This window comes from Homo sapiens, chromosome 3 (genome assembly GCF_000001405.40).
Source record: "Homo sapiens chromosome 3, GRCh38.p14 Primary Assembly".
Lineage (NCBI taxonomy): Eukaryota > Metazoa > Chordata > Mammalia > Primates > Hominidae > Homo > Homo sapiens.
Genome location: NC_000003.12, coordinates 162,248,486 through 162,266,974, shown reverse-complemented (window position 1 = coordinate 162,266,974; position 18,489 = coordinate 162,248,486). Strand labels below are relative to the sequence as shown.

General features: G+C 34.2%; 1 annotated feature.

Moving 5' to 3' along the window:
- Positions 16,649 to 16,788: a silencer, noted in NCBI's record as "fragment chr3:161967975-161968114 (GRCh37/hg19 assembly coordinates)". NCBI's record gives its function as "represses an EF-1alpha promoter that drives an FKBP-Casp9 reporter gene in an ReSE screen in K562 erythroleukemia cells {active_cell/tissue: K562}" and the evidence as "EXISTENCE:reporter gene assay evidence [ECO:0000049][PMID:32094911]".

The following is an 18,489-nucleotide window of genomic DNA, read 5'->3' as shown; positions in this document are numbered from 1 at the left end:
TGTCCCTCACAGCCTAGTGACTAGGCACTTAGGAAATGTTCAATAAATGTTAATTTCATTGAAACGACAAGTTTGTAAGCTATAATAGTTCAATGTGAGTTGGAAATGGCAATTTAAACTCGAGAAGCCAACAGTCTTTTTATTCTAAGATATTGAAAAATGAGTCATCATTCATCTCATCTCTCATTTCTTCTTTGCCTCTGTCATTCTTATGCTAGACAGAGAAATGGATATGTATTAGGTCAGACTTTTCACAGGATGCTACTGAAGGTACCAGAAGTAAAAATTATGGCAGGAAAAATCATGTATTATTAAAGAAGTCTATATTAAAATAATATAAAGTTTTTTCCGAGTAGGAAGGCAAATCATTTCCATTTCATACAACAGGTTTGAACATTATAAGATTGGCAGACCCCAACATAAAGAAATAAGCTTGAATAAAAGATCAGGAAAATACTGGTGAGTAATTAGCAGGAATAAACAAACAAAAGCCCAGCCTTTTATCAATCTTCATAGAATTATGAATACCATTAGTAAGATTTGCTTTATAGAATGTCATGTCAAAAAAATATAAGTGGGCCGGGTGCGGTGGCTTACGCCTGTAATCCCAACACTTTGGGAGGCTGAGGCGGGTGAATCACAAGGTCAGGAGTTCAAGACCAGCCTTGCCAAGATGGTGAAACCTTGTCTCTACTAAAAATACAAAAAAAATTAGCCGGGCATGGCGGTGGTTGAATAAGACATTTGCAGGCAGTTGTACAGTCAATTTCAATCTTTTATGCAACTATATATGCAACTATGCATATATACATACATATATATGTATATTATATATATATGCATATATCTTCTTAAGAAAAAACTTTTCAAAAATGGACCCTTGACTTCATATATTTGAAAATTCAAGAAATGCCAAGGACTGAAAAGTCATTATAAGAATGCAGAAGGAAAATAAATTTTGCTCAAGTTTAATCTAACTCTGAGAGTTATCACAAGGATTAAACATGGAATTCAATCCGCAATATATCACAAGCTATATTTCGCCTTTACAGTTATATAGTTATTCTTATCACTTCCTGGAATTGGTATTTTTTGTGTTTACCTCTACAAATAAAGTGGAATCAAACTTTTTCTCATCTAAATGATAAGAGTCATTTTACGTTTTACTTATTAGTAAAAAAGTAAATTAGTCATTTACTTTTACTTATTTCATTAATAAAAATTAGAGTATTTCAGAGAATACCATGCACCCTTTAATGTAACTGAATCCCCTTACTTCTACTCTTTGATTTCTAATAAGATCCTTCTGATGGTTATTAAACTTGTATTCTCTTAAATAAAAATCCCATTGATTATTTCAAAACATCATTTGTTTGTACATCTCACTATTAGGAAACTAAATTTTGGAACCCCCCCCAAAAAAACATGGGTAGAAATCACTATATAAAGTGATTTTAAAAGGGTAATAATATGGAAAAGTGATACATTGAACAAAGGAAAAAATCCGTTTTGGAATGTCTTAGTACTAACAAGTGGCTTAATGCTCAGGATGATTTTTATTTTCATAACAGTTAAATATAAAATATGTTAATGATTTATAAGTGATGAAATGTGTAAAACTAGTATACATTTATACATGTATAATAAGCAAATGTTTAAATGACATTATGATTATAAAATGTGTAAATTAAAGTGATGTGAAGCTGTTTTCCCGTAGGTTCAAAAGCGGGTTAAGATTTCCAGCTAGGGAAGTTTTTTTGTATTAAAACTTTGACTCATGGTTAGAAGTATATGGTGAATTTTTTTCATAGAACTTCTGTCCTGCTCTAAGTTGCAAAAAGAAATGAACATCTCAGTGAGCAGGGGGTGGAAGGAGGGTTATAGTAACATGATAAATGCAGAAAAAGGTTTTTTCTTTCAGTGCATTGCAGATACTGTTCAGCAGTTTATCTGTACAAAAATAAAATGTGATCTCCTATAAAACAGCCAAGGTCACTGAATATTGGTCACGCAAGTTAAAGTTCTCTCAGGCCTATTCCACCTTTTACATTTTCCCCCCTTTGGCTAGGAAAAAATAAGACCTTTACAGGCAGTTGTACAGTCCATTTCAATCTTTCATTCAACTGTCTAGTTCTTGTTATATGCATTTCTTTAAAACTGTTATTAATAAAAATCTAAAAATATTCTAGGTTATTTGAAACATACTATTTTTGAGTATTGAATAATACTTCATGGTACAAAGATAAACATTATAAATTTTATATTTCAATTACTCACATCGCATTTAGTTTTTGGGTGCTATATACATTGAATGACCTCATTCTCTCCATAATTTTCAAATCTCTTTGAATAAGAAAGAATTCTACAAATACAAGCTGCATGAGGCATATTTACACATTTGAATGTCTTTCTTGTAATTTACATTTATCACTATATAATACCTTGAAATTTTCATTTTACAGGTTAGCAGTTATTAATCTTGTTACGATATTATAGATTGAGATACGAAGTCATTATTAAGTCATGGTGTTTAGTAAGATATCATAACTTATAGTTTAAGAACACAAGCCCTTTAAGACCAGGAATTATTTTTTCTTCTGTTCTGTTTTTTACTGAGTGCCTTGTACAGCCTGGCACATAGTAACTCTTTAATAGATGTTTGCCAATGAATAAAATAATAAGTAAATGCATGAATGATGGCCTAGATTTAAAATGTACCACACATAGATTCCAAACTAATCCTATAGTTAAATCAACAGGGCAAAATTTTATTTCTGGAATATGAGGAAATTTGAACTCCAAATAAGCTTCGAACTCAAAATTTCACCTTTGGTTTATAATCTTCATTTGGATATAAGCTGATTTATGTACTTTTAATTTTATTTACTGATAAAACAGGAATAGAACATTATGAGAGACATGGAAGACTGAAAAACGTCCACTCTGACCCTCACATGTCCTTGTCCCTTGTAGCTATTGCATAACATGTTCCTAGCATGTGACCTAGGCCCCAACTCTTCATCTCCCTCCTTTTGATAAAATCCAAATAGTACAAAAGTGGCTGCTAATCTGAAAAAATAATGCCTCCCTCTTTTTAGTACTGTCTCTGTACAACTAACCTAACTTCAGCTGGCTGCCTCCTGCTAAAGCCCTGTAAAATAGTCAACCGCACTTCCTGAGGTTACAACCTCCACCCTTTCCTCATGCCTGGTATCTTCAAAGAAACATTCGTGCTCATGGTGTTATGCTTGATTTTTCTCCACAAGAGGACCAATTTATTTCAAGGCTAGAGTTAGCATTAGAGGTATGGGAGTATGTACATTGAATTTATAGGTATATATATATATGGTGAGGTCTTAACCTCTGTAAGAAAAGTACTTGCAACACAAGCAAATATTTCTCCCTTATTTTTCTAAATCTGTGCCCTAAATACTTCATGTAAAGTATATGTATAAATTTCAAAACTATAAGGAAAACCAAAAATTATATAATGTTAGCTTTTAGGAGTTTTTTATTCATAAGCATGCCTCCTTAGTTGATAACTTCTCTCAATTATTTTTTTACATAATTTTCACTGAGTATTAATTATTTCAGTTCTGGGAGCAATCAGCTGAGAACAAATTACGCTTTAAAAGTATCTTTGGCATGGTTTTTATAAGACCGCCTCATGAAGAAGATGAGCATTTCAAGTAGAATGTATGAGCCTTTGATGCCATCTTTGTAGAAGCAGATCTGGCATTCCTTGGATCCAATCTAGAGGCTCATGATGCTCATTGGCAAACATATTTCTCTATTGCCAAAGGAGAAGCTGTGCCCTCTGGGCTCTGCTTGGTTCACCTCAATGTCTACAGAGTGGGTAGCAAGCTGATTACAAGGCTTTCTGCTAGCTCTACTATTGGCATCAATACTACCAGGGCTCCAGGGTTTAACACCCTTCCCACATGCCATTACAGAGAACAGCCAGCACCTTAAGTGGCCTTACCTTCTGTGCCCTTAGCTTCCACAGATGAGACTACCACCGCAACCTATCCATCAGAGTATTTCTGATATGTAACTCTTTTGTCAGTCATTTGGCCAATTACTACATCCATAATGTTTTGTTCATGGCCTGCAGTGTAAACCTCTCCAGTCATTTGTCTTTTCATAAAATTTTATCCTCAAACCTATTTGTACTTCTTTCTCCCTCAACCCATCCCATTTCCCCTAAACCTTTTACCAGGCTGTCTAAAATATCCCTTTCATGGTAATAAACATTTAAAAAAATTAATTAATTTTGTAAAAGCCTACCTTGACCTCTTTACTAAGAATCCCCCTCCATCTTTTTTTACGTAACTGGATTCTGGTTCCCTCCTGGAATATGAATTTTCCCGGAGCCTTCCAGATGACATGACTCTAGTTTCAAGTGAAAGGTTAGCATCCTGCCTTTCCTCAGTTCTCCCAGATGCTTCCTACAGAATGCTCATATTGAACTTTTCTTCACTGTCACTAAGGTCAGCCTGAATTCCATGTTGTCACCATCATTGCTTACCTGTTTACTCCTCTTTTGGAGAAGAAATGTTAGGTCTGGCACATGATGTCTTCCCACCACAGCTGTATTATTTATTCAGGATGACTCAAACAATAACCTACTTTCATATCTTCTTAAGTTTCTTGTTTTGCTTTCCGATTACAGTCATACCTCAGGGATTTTGAGGGTTTAGTTCTAGATTATCTCAATAAAGTAAATATTGCAGTAAACAAATCACACAAATGTTTTGGTTTCCAAGTGCATATAAAAGTTATGTTTACCCTATACTGTAGTCTAGTAGGTGTGCAATAGCACTTATGTCTAAAAAGAAGTACACATCTTAATGAAAAGATTATTTATTGCTAAAAAGAAAAATTGCTTTATTAACCTTTTTTGCTGGTAGAGGATCTTGCCTTGATGGCTGCTGACTGATCAGGGTGGTGATTGCTGAAAGTTGGAGCAGCTGTGGCAGTTTCTTAAAATACGAAAACAATGAAGTTTGCTGCATCAGTTAACTCTTCCTTCCACAGACGGTTTCTCTGTAGCATTTGATGCTGTTTGATATCAATTTACCCACAGTGGAACTTTTCTCAAAATTAAAGTCAATCCTCTCAAACCCTGTTGTTGCTTTATCAACTAAGCTTATGAAATAGGCTAAATCCTTTGTTGCTTATGTTTGTATTCTAAATGCTGTATTGCTCTCATTTCCACAATTTTCACAGAATCTTCACAGTATAGATTCCTTCTCAAAAAACCACTAATTTTTTTGCTCATTTATATGAACCAATCCCTCATCTGTTCAAGTTTTTTTTTTTTTTTTCTTTTGAGACCAAGTCTCTTCTCTTTGTCACCCAGGCTAGAGTGCAGTGGCACAGTCTTGGCTCGCTGCAACCTCTGCCTCCCGAGGTCAAGTGATTCTCCTGCCTCAGCCTCCTGACTAGCTAGGACTACAGGTGCACACCACCACACCCAGCTATTTTTTTTTTGTATTTTTAGTAGAGACAAGGGTTCACCATGTTGATCAGGCAGGTCTCAAACTCCTGACCTCAAATTATCCACCCACCTCGGCCTCCCAAAGTGTCGGGATTACAGACGTGATCCACCGCACCCGGCCTGTTAAAGTTTTATAATGACATTGCAACAACCATATCTGCAGCAACTTCGTCCACTGAAGTTTTGCACCCCTCAAGGTCATCCATAAGAGTTGGAATCTTCTTTCAAACTCCTGTTAGTGTTGATGTTTGACTTCCTCCCATGAATCACAAATGTTCTTAATGGCCTCTAAAATAGTGAATCTTTTCCAGAATTTTTTTTTTCTTTTTCTGAGATGGAGTCTTTCTCTGTCCCCTAGGGTGGAGTGCAGTGGCATGATCTGGGCTCACCGCAACCTCCGCCTCCCAGGTTCAAGCAATTCTTCTGCCTCAGCCTCCCAAGTAGCTGGGACTACAGGCATGCACCACCACACCCAGCTAATTTTTGTATTTTTAGTAGAGACGGGGTTACACCATATTGGCCAGGCTGGTCTCAAACTCCTGATCTCATGATCTGCCTGCCTCGGCCTCCCAAAGTGCTGGGATTACAGGTGTGAGCCACTGCACCCAGCCAGAAGGTTTTAAATGTACTTTGCCCAGATGCATCAGAAGAATCAATATCTATGGCTGCTATAACTTTATAAAATATATTTCTTAAATAATAAGATTTGAAAGTAAAAGTTACTCCTTAATACATGGGCTGTAGAATAGCTGCTGTGTTAGCAGACATGAAAAAAGCCTAAATCTCCTTGTATATTTGCATCAGAACTCTTGAGTGACCAGGTGCATTCTCAATGAGCAGTAATATTTTGAAAGCAATCTTTTTCTGCAGAGTATGTATCAACAGTGGGCTTAAAATATTGAGTAAACCATGCTGTAAACAGATGTTCTGTCAACTAGGCTTTGTTCTTACATTTATAGAGCGTAGACAAAGTAGATTTAGCATATTTTTTAAGAATCCCAGGGTTTGAGGGATGATAAGTGAACATTGGCCTCAGCTTAAAGTCATCAGCTGCATTAGTCTGTCACTTGAAGCTTTGAAGTCGGGCATTATAATGTCGAATTTATTTAAAAATACAGTTGTATGTGAAAAAGTTTCTTTTTGAAATACTTGATGCAACTACTTAGAAAAACAAAGTGTTAAAGAGGAAAACAGATAAGTGTGACAGAGAGATAGTGAAAAAAAGAAAGATCGAAGCAATTTGTTGTGGCCAGAGCTTACCCTGAGATTTTTCTTGGTCCAAAACACTTCAGGCTATCGGGTTCTTTGTGTGGGATATTTTGTCTTAAATTTATTTTTCTAAATGTTGATACACTATAGAAAGCTCTGATTCTCATAGAAAGAGAACCAGATTTTTTGCACATAGCTATCCACTTGCACCCATATCATTAATTCAACTATCTTTTCCCAAATTATGTATTCTACTATCACTATCACATGCAAAATCCCATACATTAAATCTATTTTGACTCTGTCTTATTCTACTTATTATTCTTGTATAAGGATTATACTTTTGAAAACTAAACTAGCTTTAGAGATTATTTGGTGTCTAAACCATCACTGTCCAATAAAAATGTTATTATTATTTTCTAGCAGCCACATTTAAATAAAGATAAAATGAGGCTGTACAAAGTAATTTTAATAGTATTTTTTGTTTAACCCAATATGTAAAAAATATTTTCACATGTAATCTATTATATTTCAGCACATAGGCAATATAAAAACAATTATCAATAAATAGCTTATTTTTTAGGCTAAATATTTGAGATTTAGCATGTATTTTACACTTAGAGCACATTGTAATTCAGACTAGCCACATTTTAAGTGTTCAAGAGAAACAAGTAAGCAGTGGCTACTTTATTGGACAGAGCAGATACGGGAAAGTAAATATGAAAGAAAAATCAGTAAAAGTCTTGTAATAAGAGTGTCTTCCTAAAAGACACCCTAAAGAATCACGCAACCATGATCATTAAAAGCTTTTCTGTATCAGACTGGCATCCAAGACTTATTTGAAGAAATAAATCTCGATGAAGATATACAATCCTACTACATAACAACTCAAGCATCTCCAAATTTAGATGCTTCTAATTATTGTTCTTTCAAGTTCAGTTAATTTTCCTAAAATCAGGTTCAAGAGCAAAAAACAAATTTTACAGTTGCCTTATTTAGTAATTATATACAAAGTTTTGTCAGTATTATTTAATAAAACTGTAGTACATTATAATTCCATATTTATTGGGTTATCAGCTTTGAAATAAGTTTTATTCATTATGGAGTTTAGGTATCTTTAACATATTAAATTGATTAAATATTTTTCCTCAGTAACTTACTAACCTTCCAGGCTATCAATACACACCCTACGCCAAACTGAGTTCAGTCTTCACAAAGAAATAACCCTTTTTGAATGCAATTAGATAACATAGTCTTCTGCTCAAAACTTTCCAAAGAAACGTTGCTCCGTCGGTATTACATCCAAAATGCTTACCCTGGCCTACATGACCCAATAGGGTGGGCCCTATTATTTTCTAACCTTATATTCAACCACTGCCCTAACCCCTTTCTCACTCTGCTCTAGACACACTGGCATTATCAGTGTTTCTCAAACACAACAAAGTTTCCTCTGGTCAAATGTTTTCCCTCCGATATTCCGATGGCTCTGTCTCTCAATCCTTCAGGTCTTTTTTTGAATACTGACTTTCCAATGAGTCTAATCAATCCACATTACTGAAAATTGCTATGTCACTTCTCATTACCACTAATCTCTCTTCTCTATTTTACTTTTCTCCATAGAATTATTGCTCTCTAATCTAGTCTTTTTTTTTTTTTTAACTGTTTGTTATTGCTTCTGCTCCACTAGGATGTAAGTTCTGCAAGGGCAGGGTTTACTTTCTGGTTTGCTGCTGTATCCAAAGCATCTAAACAGTTCCTACTGATATATATATGTTTAAAATAGTATAATAGAAAATATATATATCAAGTATGATATATATTTTTAAAGTTGTTTGATTATAACCTCTTTATTTTGACATTGAAAAAATGAGTTCTATATAATATTTATAGCCACTATTTCCATAAGCAAAAGCAAAATAAATGGTAAATAAGTACACATGATTTCATTAGAGATATTTAACTTCTTAATCATTTTAGCACTTTGTTGGTGTGTGACAGTGACTATTTAAAAATTATATGATTAGCATATTGTACCTATTCACAGTTATAATGAAGAGTAAAATAAATCAATAACTTTAAACTAACTTTAGATATTTCTGGACCTAAATCTTAAGCTTTCTTTCACAATGCTATAAAAATGATAATTACAAAAAAAGCTTCAATGATTTAAAACTAGCAGAAATTCTCAAAGGATATGTTCTTTCTTTTTTTAACAGCAGTTGTTCATATTTTTGACAATTAAATGTAACCATAATTATCACTCAGCCTTTCAAAGAGTCTTTGACATTTCAGGGAAATCTGAACTTCTACTAGCTAAGTTTTAAAGATCATTATTCTGGAGTGCCACAATGATTGCTATAATAAAAAGCAAAGTTTAGAGGTTTTAAAGGAATAAATATGAGAAATCTTATAAAGCAATAGTATATAAAAATTGAAAGCAGTCATATGCACCAACAACATCCAAGCTGACAGCCAAATCAAGAATACAATCCTATTCACAATAACCAAAAAAGAATAAAATACCTAGGACTACAGTTAACCAGGGAGGTGAAAGCTCTCTACAATGAAAATTACGAAACAGTGCTCAAAGAAGTCAGAGATGACACAAACAATTGGAAAACATTCCATGTTCATTGATAGGGAGAATTATCATGGCCATACTGCCCAAAGCAATTTATAAATTAAATACTATTCCTATCAAACTGCCAATGACATTCTTCACAGAACTAGAAAAAAAACTATTTTAAGATTCTCTTAAAACCAAAAAAAGAGTCAGAATAGCCAAGACAATCCTAAGCAAAAAGAGCAAAGCTGGAGGCATCACATTACCAAACTTAAAACTATACTACAGGGCTGCAGTAACCAAAATAGCATGGTATTGGCACAAAAACAGACACATAGAACAACAGAACAGAAAAGAGAACTGAGAAACAATGCCACATATCTGCAATCATCTGATCCTCAACAAAGTCAACCAAAACAATCAATGGGGAAAGGACCCCCTATATAATCAATGATGCTGGGATAACTGGCTAGCTCTATGAAGAAGATCAAAACTGGACCCCTTCCTTACACTATATACAAAAATCAACTCAAGATGGATCAAAGACTTAAATGTGAAACCTAAAACCATAAAAGTCCTGGAATAAAACCTAGGAAATATCATTTTGGACATAGGACCAGGCAAAGATTTATGTTGAAAATGCCAATGTAATTGCAGCAAAAGCAAAAATTGACAATTGGGACCTAATTAAACTAAAGAGCCTCTGAATAGCCAAAATTTAAAAATTAATAAACAGACAACCTACAGAATGGGAGAAAATATTTGCAAGCTATGCATCCAACAAAGGTCTAATATACAAAATCTATAACAAACTTAAACAAATTAACAAGCAAAAACCAACCCTATTAAAAGTTGGCAAAGTACATGAACAGTCACTTTTTGAAAGAAGACATGCATGTGGCCCACTGGCATATGAAAGAATGCTCAACATCACTTATTATTAGTAAAATGCAAATCAAAACCACAATGAGGTACCATCTCAAACAAGTCAGAATAGCTACTACTAAAATGTCAAAAATTAGGAGATGCTGGCTAGGTTGTGAAGTAAAGGATATGCTTATACACTGCTGTTGAGACTGTACATTAGTTTAGCCATTGTGGAACCAGTTTGGCAATTTATGAAAGAACCAAAAATAGAATTACCATTTAACCCAGGAATCTCATTATTAGATATATACCTAAAGGAATATAAATCATTCTACCATAAAGATACATGAACATGTATGTTTATCACAGCACTATTCACAATAGCAAAGACATGGAATCAAACTAAATGTCCACCGATCATAGACTAGATAAAGAAAATGTGGTACATATACACAGTGGAATACTATGCAGTCATAATAAAGAACAAGATTATGTGCTTTGCAGAAACATGAATGGAGCTGGAGGCCATTATCGTTAATAAACTAATTCAGAAGCAGAAAACCAAATATATGTTCTCACTTGTAAGTGGGAGTTAATAATGAGAACAAATGGCCACAAAGAGGGGAACAATAGTCATGGGGCCTACCAGAAGGAGGGGTTGGAAGGAAGGACAGCTTCAGGAAAGTAACTTTCAGGTACTATGCTTAGTACCTGTGTGATGAAATATCTGTACTCCAAACCCCCACAACACAGAATTTACCTACATGACAAATCTGCACGAGTACCCCAGAATCTAAAACAAAAGTTAAAAAAATTTAAAGTAATATTCACAAAATAATTGAATTAAATGTATCCTTAACTAGTAATCTGAGAAGTTAAATATATTTTAAATGAGATTTACAGTATATTCAGAGATGTCCAATAATAAATAAATAATATAACATCAATTAATAGTGAGCTGCAATTTTGGGGAACTTACTGTGTGCTAGTTATAATGCTAGCTATGTACTTTTTAAAACCATTAAGAACAAACTTGCTGCTTCTGCAATAATCTTTATTTCCTTTAATAGGAGACCTATACTTCCAGTTGCTTGACTTCAACCAGTGTTGAAGTCTAACAACAGTCTAACAGAAAGAAAAAAAAACACTGAAATATATCAGGTTCTATTAATCTCTGGTACCTTAAAAGAAAAACCTTTAAGATGTGATTAAGGAAGTATCACGACATGGAGAAATTACCCTGGATTATACACGCAGAAAGGTGAAGGGAATAAGACGGAGGCAAAGAATTGAATCATATGGCCATAAGCAAAGGAATGTCAGAAATGGGATTCCTCAGTAAATACCTGTGGAAGACACTCTTGCCAGTGGTGTAAATCCCCATATCACATGCAGATTTACAGGGTTTTTTAGAATGGTGTATCAGCCAAAACACTGCCAGCTTCAACTGAAAGGGACAGCGACAGGATGAAATGAGTAAGACTATCACTCTTGCAGTTTCACAGGTGGGAAATAGATTGATAAAACCACTTATCTAAAAACATATACCACGCTTTAAGAAAAAAGAATATCTTGAGGAATCAGAGAGTGGAGCTGAGTGAGTTCAGAGGCAGATGCCCAAGTTGTTGGCAAAAACAGCAGAGCAATAGGTCCAGATGATGCCACCTAAAGCCACTGGAAATTATTCCCAAGCCTTGAAAACATTTCTTTTTTTTTTGCTACATTTCAAAATTGCTTGGGACTAGTGTTTCTTTCCTACATTTTATCCCTTTCAAAATGGAAATAGCTATACTATTATTGTATGCTTGTCCCACCATTGTATTTGGAAAGCATGATTACTTTTCTAGTTTGAGAGGTCCACAGATGGAGAGAAAATCCACTGAGTAATTATTCCCAAAGACTCATCTATACCTAACTTAGGTTATTTAGATAAAGAGCTTTGAAATTTTTGAGTTTATAATAATTAAATGGCATTGTGAACCTAAGTTGGTACTACAATGGGTTAGTACTTTGAAAGATATTGGAATAAGATGAACGTATTTTGCATGTGGGATGGACATGAATCTTTGAGTTCCAAAGAGCAGATACTGGTAGGCTAAAAAATGTCCTCAAAAGATATCTACATTCGAATCTGTAATCCTATGTTTCAATGCCTGTGAGATTGAACATCTTTAGCCATCAAGGAAATACAAATTCAAATAATAATGAAATATCAATACACAATAAATTTGCTAAAATTAAAAAAGATAACAACTATTATTTAGTTGTAAAGAAACTAAAATGTTTATATGTTGCTAAGGGTATGTGTTACAAAATGATACATGTACCTAAAGAGCACTTCGGCAGTTTCATGAAAGATTAAATATACAAGAAAAAGTGACACAAAAATTCTATCTGCTCAATCAACTGTGCTCCAATATCTGTTTGACACACAAGTTGATTTGTTTTCTCAGCCCCAGTACGTTGTTAATTATCAGTGTTGGGATTGTAATCAGGTATGTGTTGTCTTTCTTGAGGCATAATCAATTCTCATCACCATATTCTGGTAAAAATTAGTGGTACCACCCAAGATATTAATTTCTTGCTTTGAGGCAATGTGCTCATAACTTCAAGAGTTCTATGTCTGCCCTCAAAGTTCCCTTCCCATTTTATATAAATCATGCATTTCTCTGCAATTTTTTATTTGCCATGCATATTGGACTCTTATCTCAACTATTTTTGCATGTTTTTTATTTCTTTATTTATGGGGTGGGTAATGATGTAAATCTCTACTTATGACACTTCCTTTGCAGTCACTCTGTTGATATGTTGTTATGTACTTATAACTTCATACTTGGGCTATGAAGGGTGTATATTCCTCTTATTAAAACTAACAGGAATTTTTCATAGTAGAAATAAAAATGTTAATTTATCTATAATAGGTCTTTCAGTTTAAAATTTTCCCCAGTCACATAGATGAATGGTATTAAGTCATTTACATTCCTGATCACGTGCACGCATTGACTAAAGATATAAATGAAATTTGAATGTACAGTCCATATCCATGAAATAAATTGGGGTTATAATTAATGATCTGTCCCACATTACCATTTTATTTGAATAGAACTTTAGGTTGAACAAATCAGACATATACAATGACTTTTAAAATACATTTCCTACTACTCTAATACAAATTATTATTTATTAAATTGGAACAAGGTTGTTCAACTTTAGTATTTCTATCTGTAGAAATGTAAGCTCTCAGGTCCAAGAGAAACAATTTTTAAAAAGAAGTGACTATCAGGGCTAATAGTATTTGACTTTTCTGAAATATGCAAAATGGATATGTAACCACATACTTAAAAGCTTAGAAATAGACCTAATGAAATTCCTTTCTAGTATCAAGTTATTTTTTACAGGAAGTGCTTCCTCTTTGAAATCAGGTAGACCTGGTTTCAAAACTTATCTCTACCATTTAGAAGAGGTGACATTTAACTTACTCTCTCTAAAGTCCAGTCTCTTCATCTGTAAAATGGTGACATTAAAATCTAACTCATACTATTGAGAGAATTAAATAAATATTATATAAAGGACTTAACACAGAATGTGGTTTATGGAAAGCACTCTGACACATAATGGCTATGATTACCTATATTAAAAAGCATTTAATTTAGTTTGCTACTCAAGAAATAAAGATTATGTTAACATAATCTTTCAGTTTTCTAATCTGTAAAATGGTAATAATACCTGCCTTATAGATACTTGCAAAGATCATACGAATTTGAAAGGGAGATGAGAAATCTATAGTCTATTAGAAAGCCAGCAGCAAATATAAAGAACAAAAATAGGGTGTAAGTCAGAATGTTTTGTTGTGTTATCTTCTCCTATGAGGCATCTGTTTTATTTTGAGATAAAAGCCTCTTTGGAAGTGAGTCATCTCATTTTTAGGATAGGAAGGCTGGAGTGAAAATTTTTTCACTTCTACCTTAAAGTCATATGGATTAGAAGCATGTAAGAAGATGTGCTGAAAATATTTGCTGTGAATTGCCCCTCTTGTTATTGCACAGATTTTTTTCAACCATACAAATCTCAATTATAGAGAATATGTTGTATAGCAAGTGACATATTCACTTATCTGTAAAAATACTTACATATAGTAATTTTTAACATTCTCCGAAATTTAGGTAAATAAAAATTATAAAATTATCATTATAAAAAACTTTGTAAACACTTAACCAACATTCCTAAAAGTGATAGCCCAATGTCAGTTGCATTTCTCATTAATGAAGGAATATAATTTATATAAAATATTAATACTAAAATACCTTTAAAAATATTATTTAACACATAAACATTCTTCAAATTAAAGGCACTTTATTGATAATTTTTAAAATTAAAGGCAACATAAAATGAGAATTCTTATGGTATTAAAAAGTCCTCTATGCTTGAATAAGTCCTTATTTGCTGGAAACAAGGTTGAATTTCTAATGTCTGCTATGAAAATATAAAGCTATTAAAAGTATTTGTATTTTAAAAAATATTTTTAATTCTTTATTTTAATTTTCTAGAAATTTAATGTTTGAAGATTTCAAATCCATGTCTATTAATTATTATATCTACTGTTTATTATTTTCATTTTTGCATGTTTGGAAGTAACAATATTTTATTTCAATAACATTATTAATAAATCAAGCTTTTAGTCATGTTTTATAATATTTAATTATTTGCATATTTATTACTTGAGGATACATAGCAAACATAATTTAAGTATTTCAATGATTAGCATTGCCCCAGAAACCCTAAACATATTAGATAAAATATATATATATTTTTTCAAATTTAAATTATTTTATTATTTTATTTTATTTTATTTTTATAATTTTATTATTATTGTACTTTAAGTTTTAGGGTACATGTGCACTATGTGCAGGTTAGTTACATATGTATACATGTGCCATGCTGGTGTGCTGCACCCATTAACTCGTCATTTAGCATTAGGTATATCTCCTAATGCTAAGTGCATTTTATCTATCCTAATCCTAAAGCATTAGGATAGATAAAATATAAATTGTGTTAAACAATGAAATATTTGTGCAAGAATATAACAAAGTATAATTTCTTAAATGAAACAAATCATCCTGAGGGAAATACTATGGTCTTCATTGAAAAGTTTGCAGAAATATAAAAAACACATATTATTTACAATTTAATATTTGCTTCAATATTAACTTGAAATTGTGAAATATTTTTGCATGCATTCTGGCCTGTGAAGCTGTAGTTCATCTGCAGGTATACCAAATTCTAGAATATGGTTTTTTAATCATTTCATTTCAATGGGCCAAAGATTTCCAATTCATATAAGAAGACCGACATTATATCCATCTTAACAATTAATAATTCAATGCTCTCTTTTTGAATATATACTATTAGCGAATAAGAATTTCATCTCCCTCAGAAATCAGAAACCTGACGTGAATCTCACCTTTGCTCGTAAGTAATTAAAATACCATCATTTTATCATACCCTCCAGCTATCAAGGGGATGGCACATCTTCCTGTTGGATTAGAGAAAGATCATAGGCTTTGCGGACAGATGCCTTAAATCAAACGTTAGATATGCTTCTTATTGGTGGTCTGCATCATCAGATATCTCTGTCCTACCTCTCTCTTCTGGGATACTACAGTGAACAGATAAGATTTATTTGAAAAATTTAATCATCATCCACATATTGGTTATTATTTAAACCAAGAACACCCAAGTGAACTTAAATCTTTCAGGACTGACTGATTTAAGTTCAAATTGATGGTGAACCAGTGTGACCTTTTCCCTTTGATTTCAACTCAGTCAAGGTCCAGTTGGTTCAACAGAGAGATTTAGTATGAGCAACTAGTCACAAAGACAGTAAACAGAAAGAAACTGAAACACCATCCTTAGTGGGATCTGTAACACTGGAGAGGAAAGGTGTGTGGCAGGAGATGGGACCAAGGTGCAAATGTAGCTACTGTGAGAAATTCCATCCATGTCGGAGCCAGGGAAATATTTCTGACTTTTCTATTTCTCCTACACACCAATGTTATGTCACCAATCATTGGCATTAGACAGAAACCTGCCTGGCAGTTTGTAATGCTCAGGTTTTTTGTTTGTTTGTTTGTGTTATTGTGTGGTAGAAGTATCAGGGTAGAAACAGGAGTAGATTTGAGCACAAACAAGAAAATGATCATCCCAGATCATAACTATTTACATCTCTCAACTGGCCTTTTCTCAGATAATGATAGGCATTTCCAGAAGGAAAGATATACGTTTACCAAAATAACACCGATAAAATCTCTCCTCTCGATCACAAATTTACCTTGTACCTAATCTATTATCTGGTGAGCACTGTTAGTCCCAACACCAGATTTTTGCTGCAACAGAATGTAACATTTTCAGAAATAAGAACAATGTAAGCAGAACTGATTAAAATAACAGTTATCCCTTCATTTCTCAGTATTCCTTTGTCTTTGGCTTGCAGTGAGGGAGACTGTACCTGAGATCGGTGTCCTCTGTCAGGGAGGACTTGACGTCACAATCTCTAGGTGTGGTCACCAGGCACTCTCAGACAATGGCTATAGACAGTGGTCATACCCAAACAGCTGACTTCATATCAAGAGATTTTCAAATTTATCCTCTTATGCCTACATGCAAAAGTTTGCTTTCTTGTTTCATCTATGAGTGGAAAGAGAGTGGGATTGTATTTATTAGATTCCTGTGGCTGCTGTAGTAAATAATCACAATCTGGGAAGCTTAAAACAGAAGAAATTTGTTCTCTCACAGTTCTGCAAGCCAGATATCTGATACCAAGGTGTCCCAGGCCATACCTCCCCAGCGGTTTGGGTGGACAATTTTCCGTGCCTCTTTCTGCTTCTGGTGGCTGTCAGCATTTCTTGACTTCCTTTCCTTGTGGCCACATCATTCCAGTCACTACCTCTATCTTCCCATTCTCTTCTCTTCTTCTGTCTAAACATTCTCCTATTCCATCTGTCTGTCTGGGAGGGCATTCTCTTATAAAAACAGATCACTGGACTTAGTGTCTATCCGTATAATCCAGGATTATCTCCTCTCAAAATCTTTAACATAATTACATCTGCAAAGGCCCTTTTTCCAAGCAAAGTAACATTCAGAGGTTCCAAGGCTTTGACTTGGATGTGTTGAGGGGAATATTTTTTTCACCCTATCACAGCAAGGGCAGAGTCTTTGCACTGGAATGTAGACTCGCACTCCAGACCTTGCTCTGATATATTTCTCTGTATGAAGATAGGAGGATCAAAAGGAATCTTACCTTCTCTTCTCTTGCTCACCTTTGGCCCATGCAAGTTTGTGAGTATTTTTCATGATAAAGCTTCATTCTTTAATAAGGATTACACATTGTTTGGGAATGAAAGGTAGTGATGCAGAGGAGATGCCCTTTGTGCTACAGCATCTCATTACAACAAATTAGCACAGGACACCTGTTTTTATAGATTATCACCCATACAATAACACACGTTATCAAGTGTGAAGCATGTAGACCTAGAAAAACGACAGGATGAAAAGATACACAATGCACCCTTACACAACCTAAATTCTTCAATGACCTTAAATCCTCCCTTTCCCTTCCTGTTCATCAAGCAATCGTTGTTTCAAGGAGGTAGTCACCACTAATTCCAGACTTACCCTGCTGTGCAAAACCCAGTCAAGAGCTGATTCTACTACTTTACCTTACTTCAGAGTAAAGGGATGTGATTAACTCGCCTATTTGATCTAACCAGTGTATAAGTACTCAGGAGTCATTTTGGATGATAGCTTTTCAGTTCTATACAAATTATAATCTTACTCCAGAAAATGACAGTAATCACAGTAGACAGGAATCAATAAAACATGCCATCATCTGAGTACCTGCTGTCTCTCTATATTTTTTTGAGACAGGGTCTCACTCTATTGCTCAGGCTGGGATATAGTGGTGTGATCTCGGCTCACTGCAACCTCCCCCTCTGGGGCTCAAGTGATCCTCCCATCTCAGCCTCCCAAGTAGCTGGGAATACAGGCCTGTGTGACTACACACAGATAATTTTTGCATATCTCCATAGAGACAGGGTTTTACCATATTGCCCAGGCTGGTCTTAAACTCCTGGGCTCAAGGTATCCTCCTGTAACGGACTCCCAAAGTGCTGGGATTACAGGCATCAGCCACTGCGACCAGCCTACAGTTTATTTCTTGGCTGCATTCTTGGTGCTAATTTCTATAAGAATAGGGCCCTGAGAGATTCCTGAGTCATTCTGAATCTGGGGAATATCTACTGTAAGACTACATAGTTGTGTATATGTATATGCATGAGAATGTGTGTATATACAC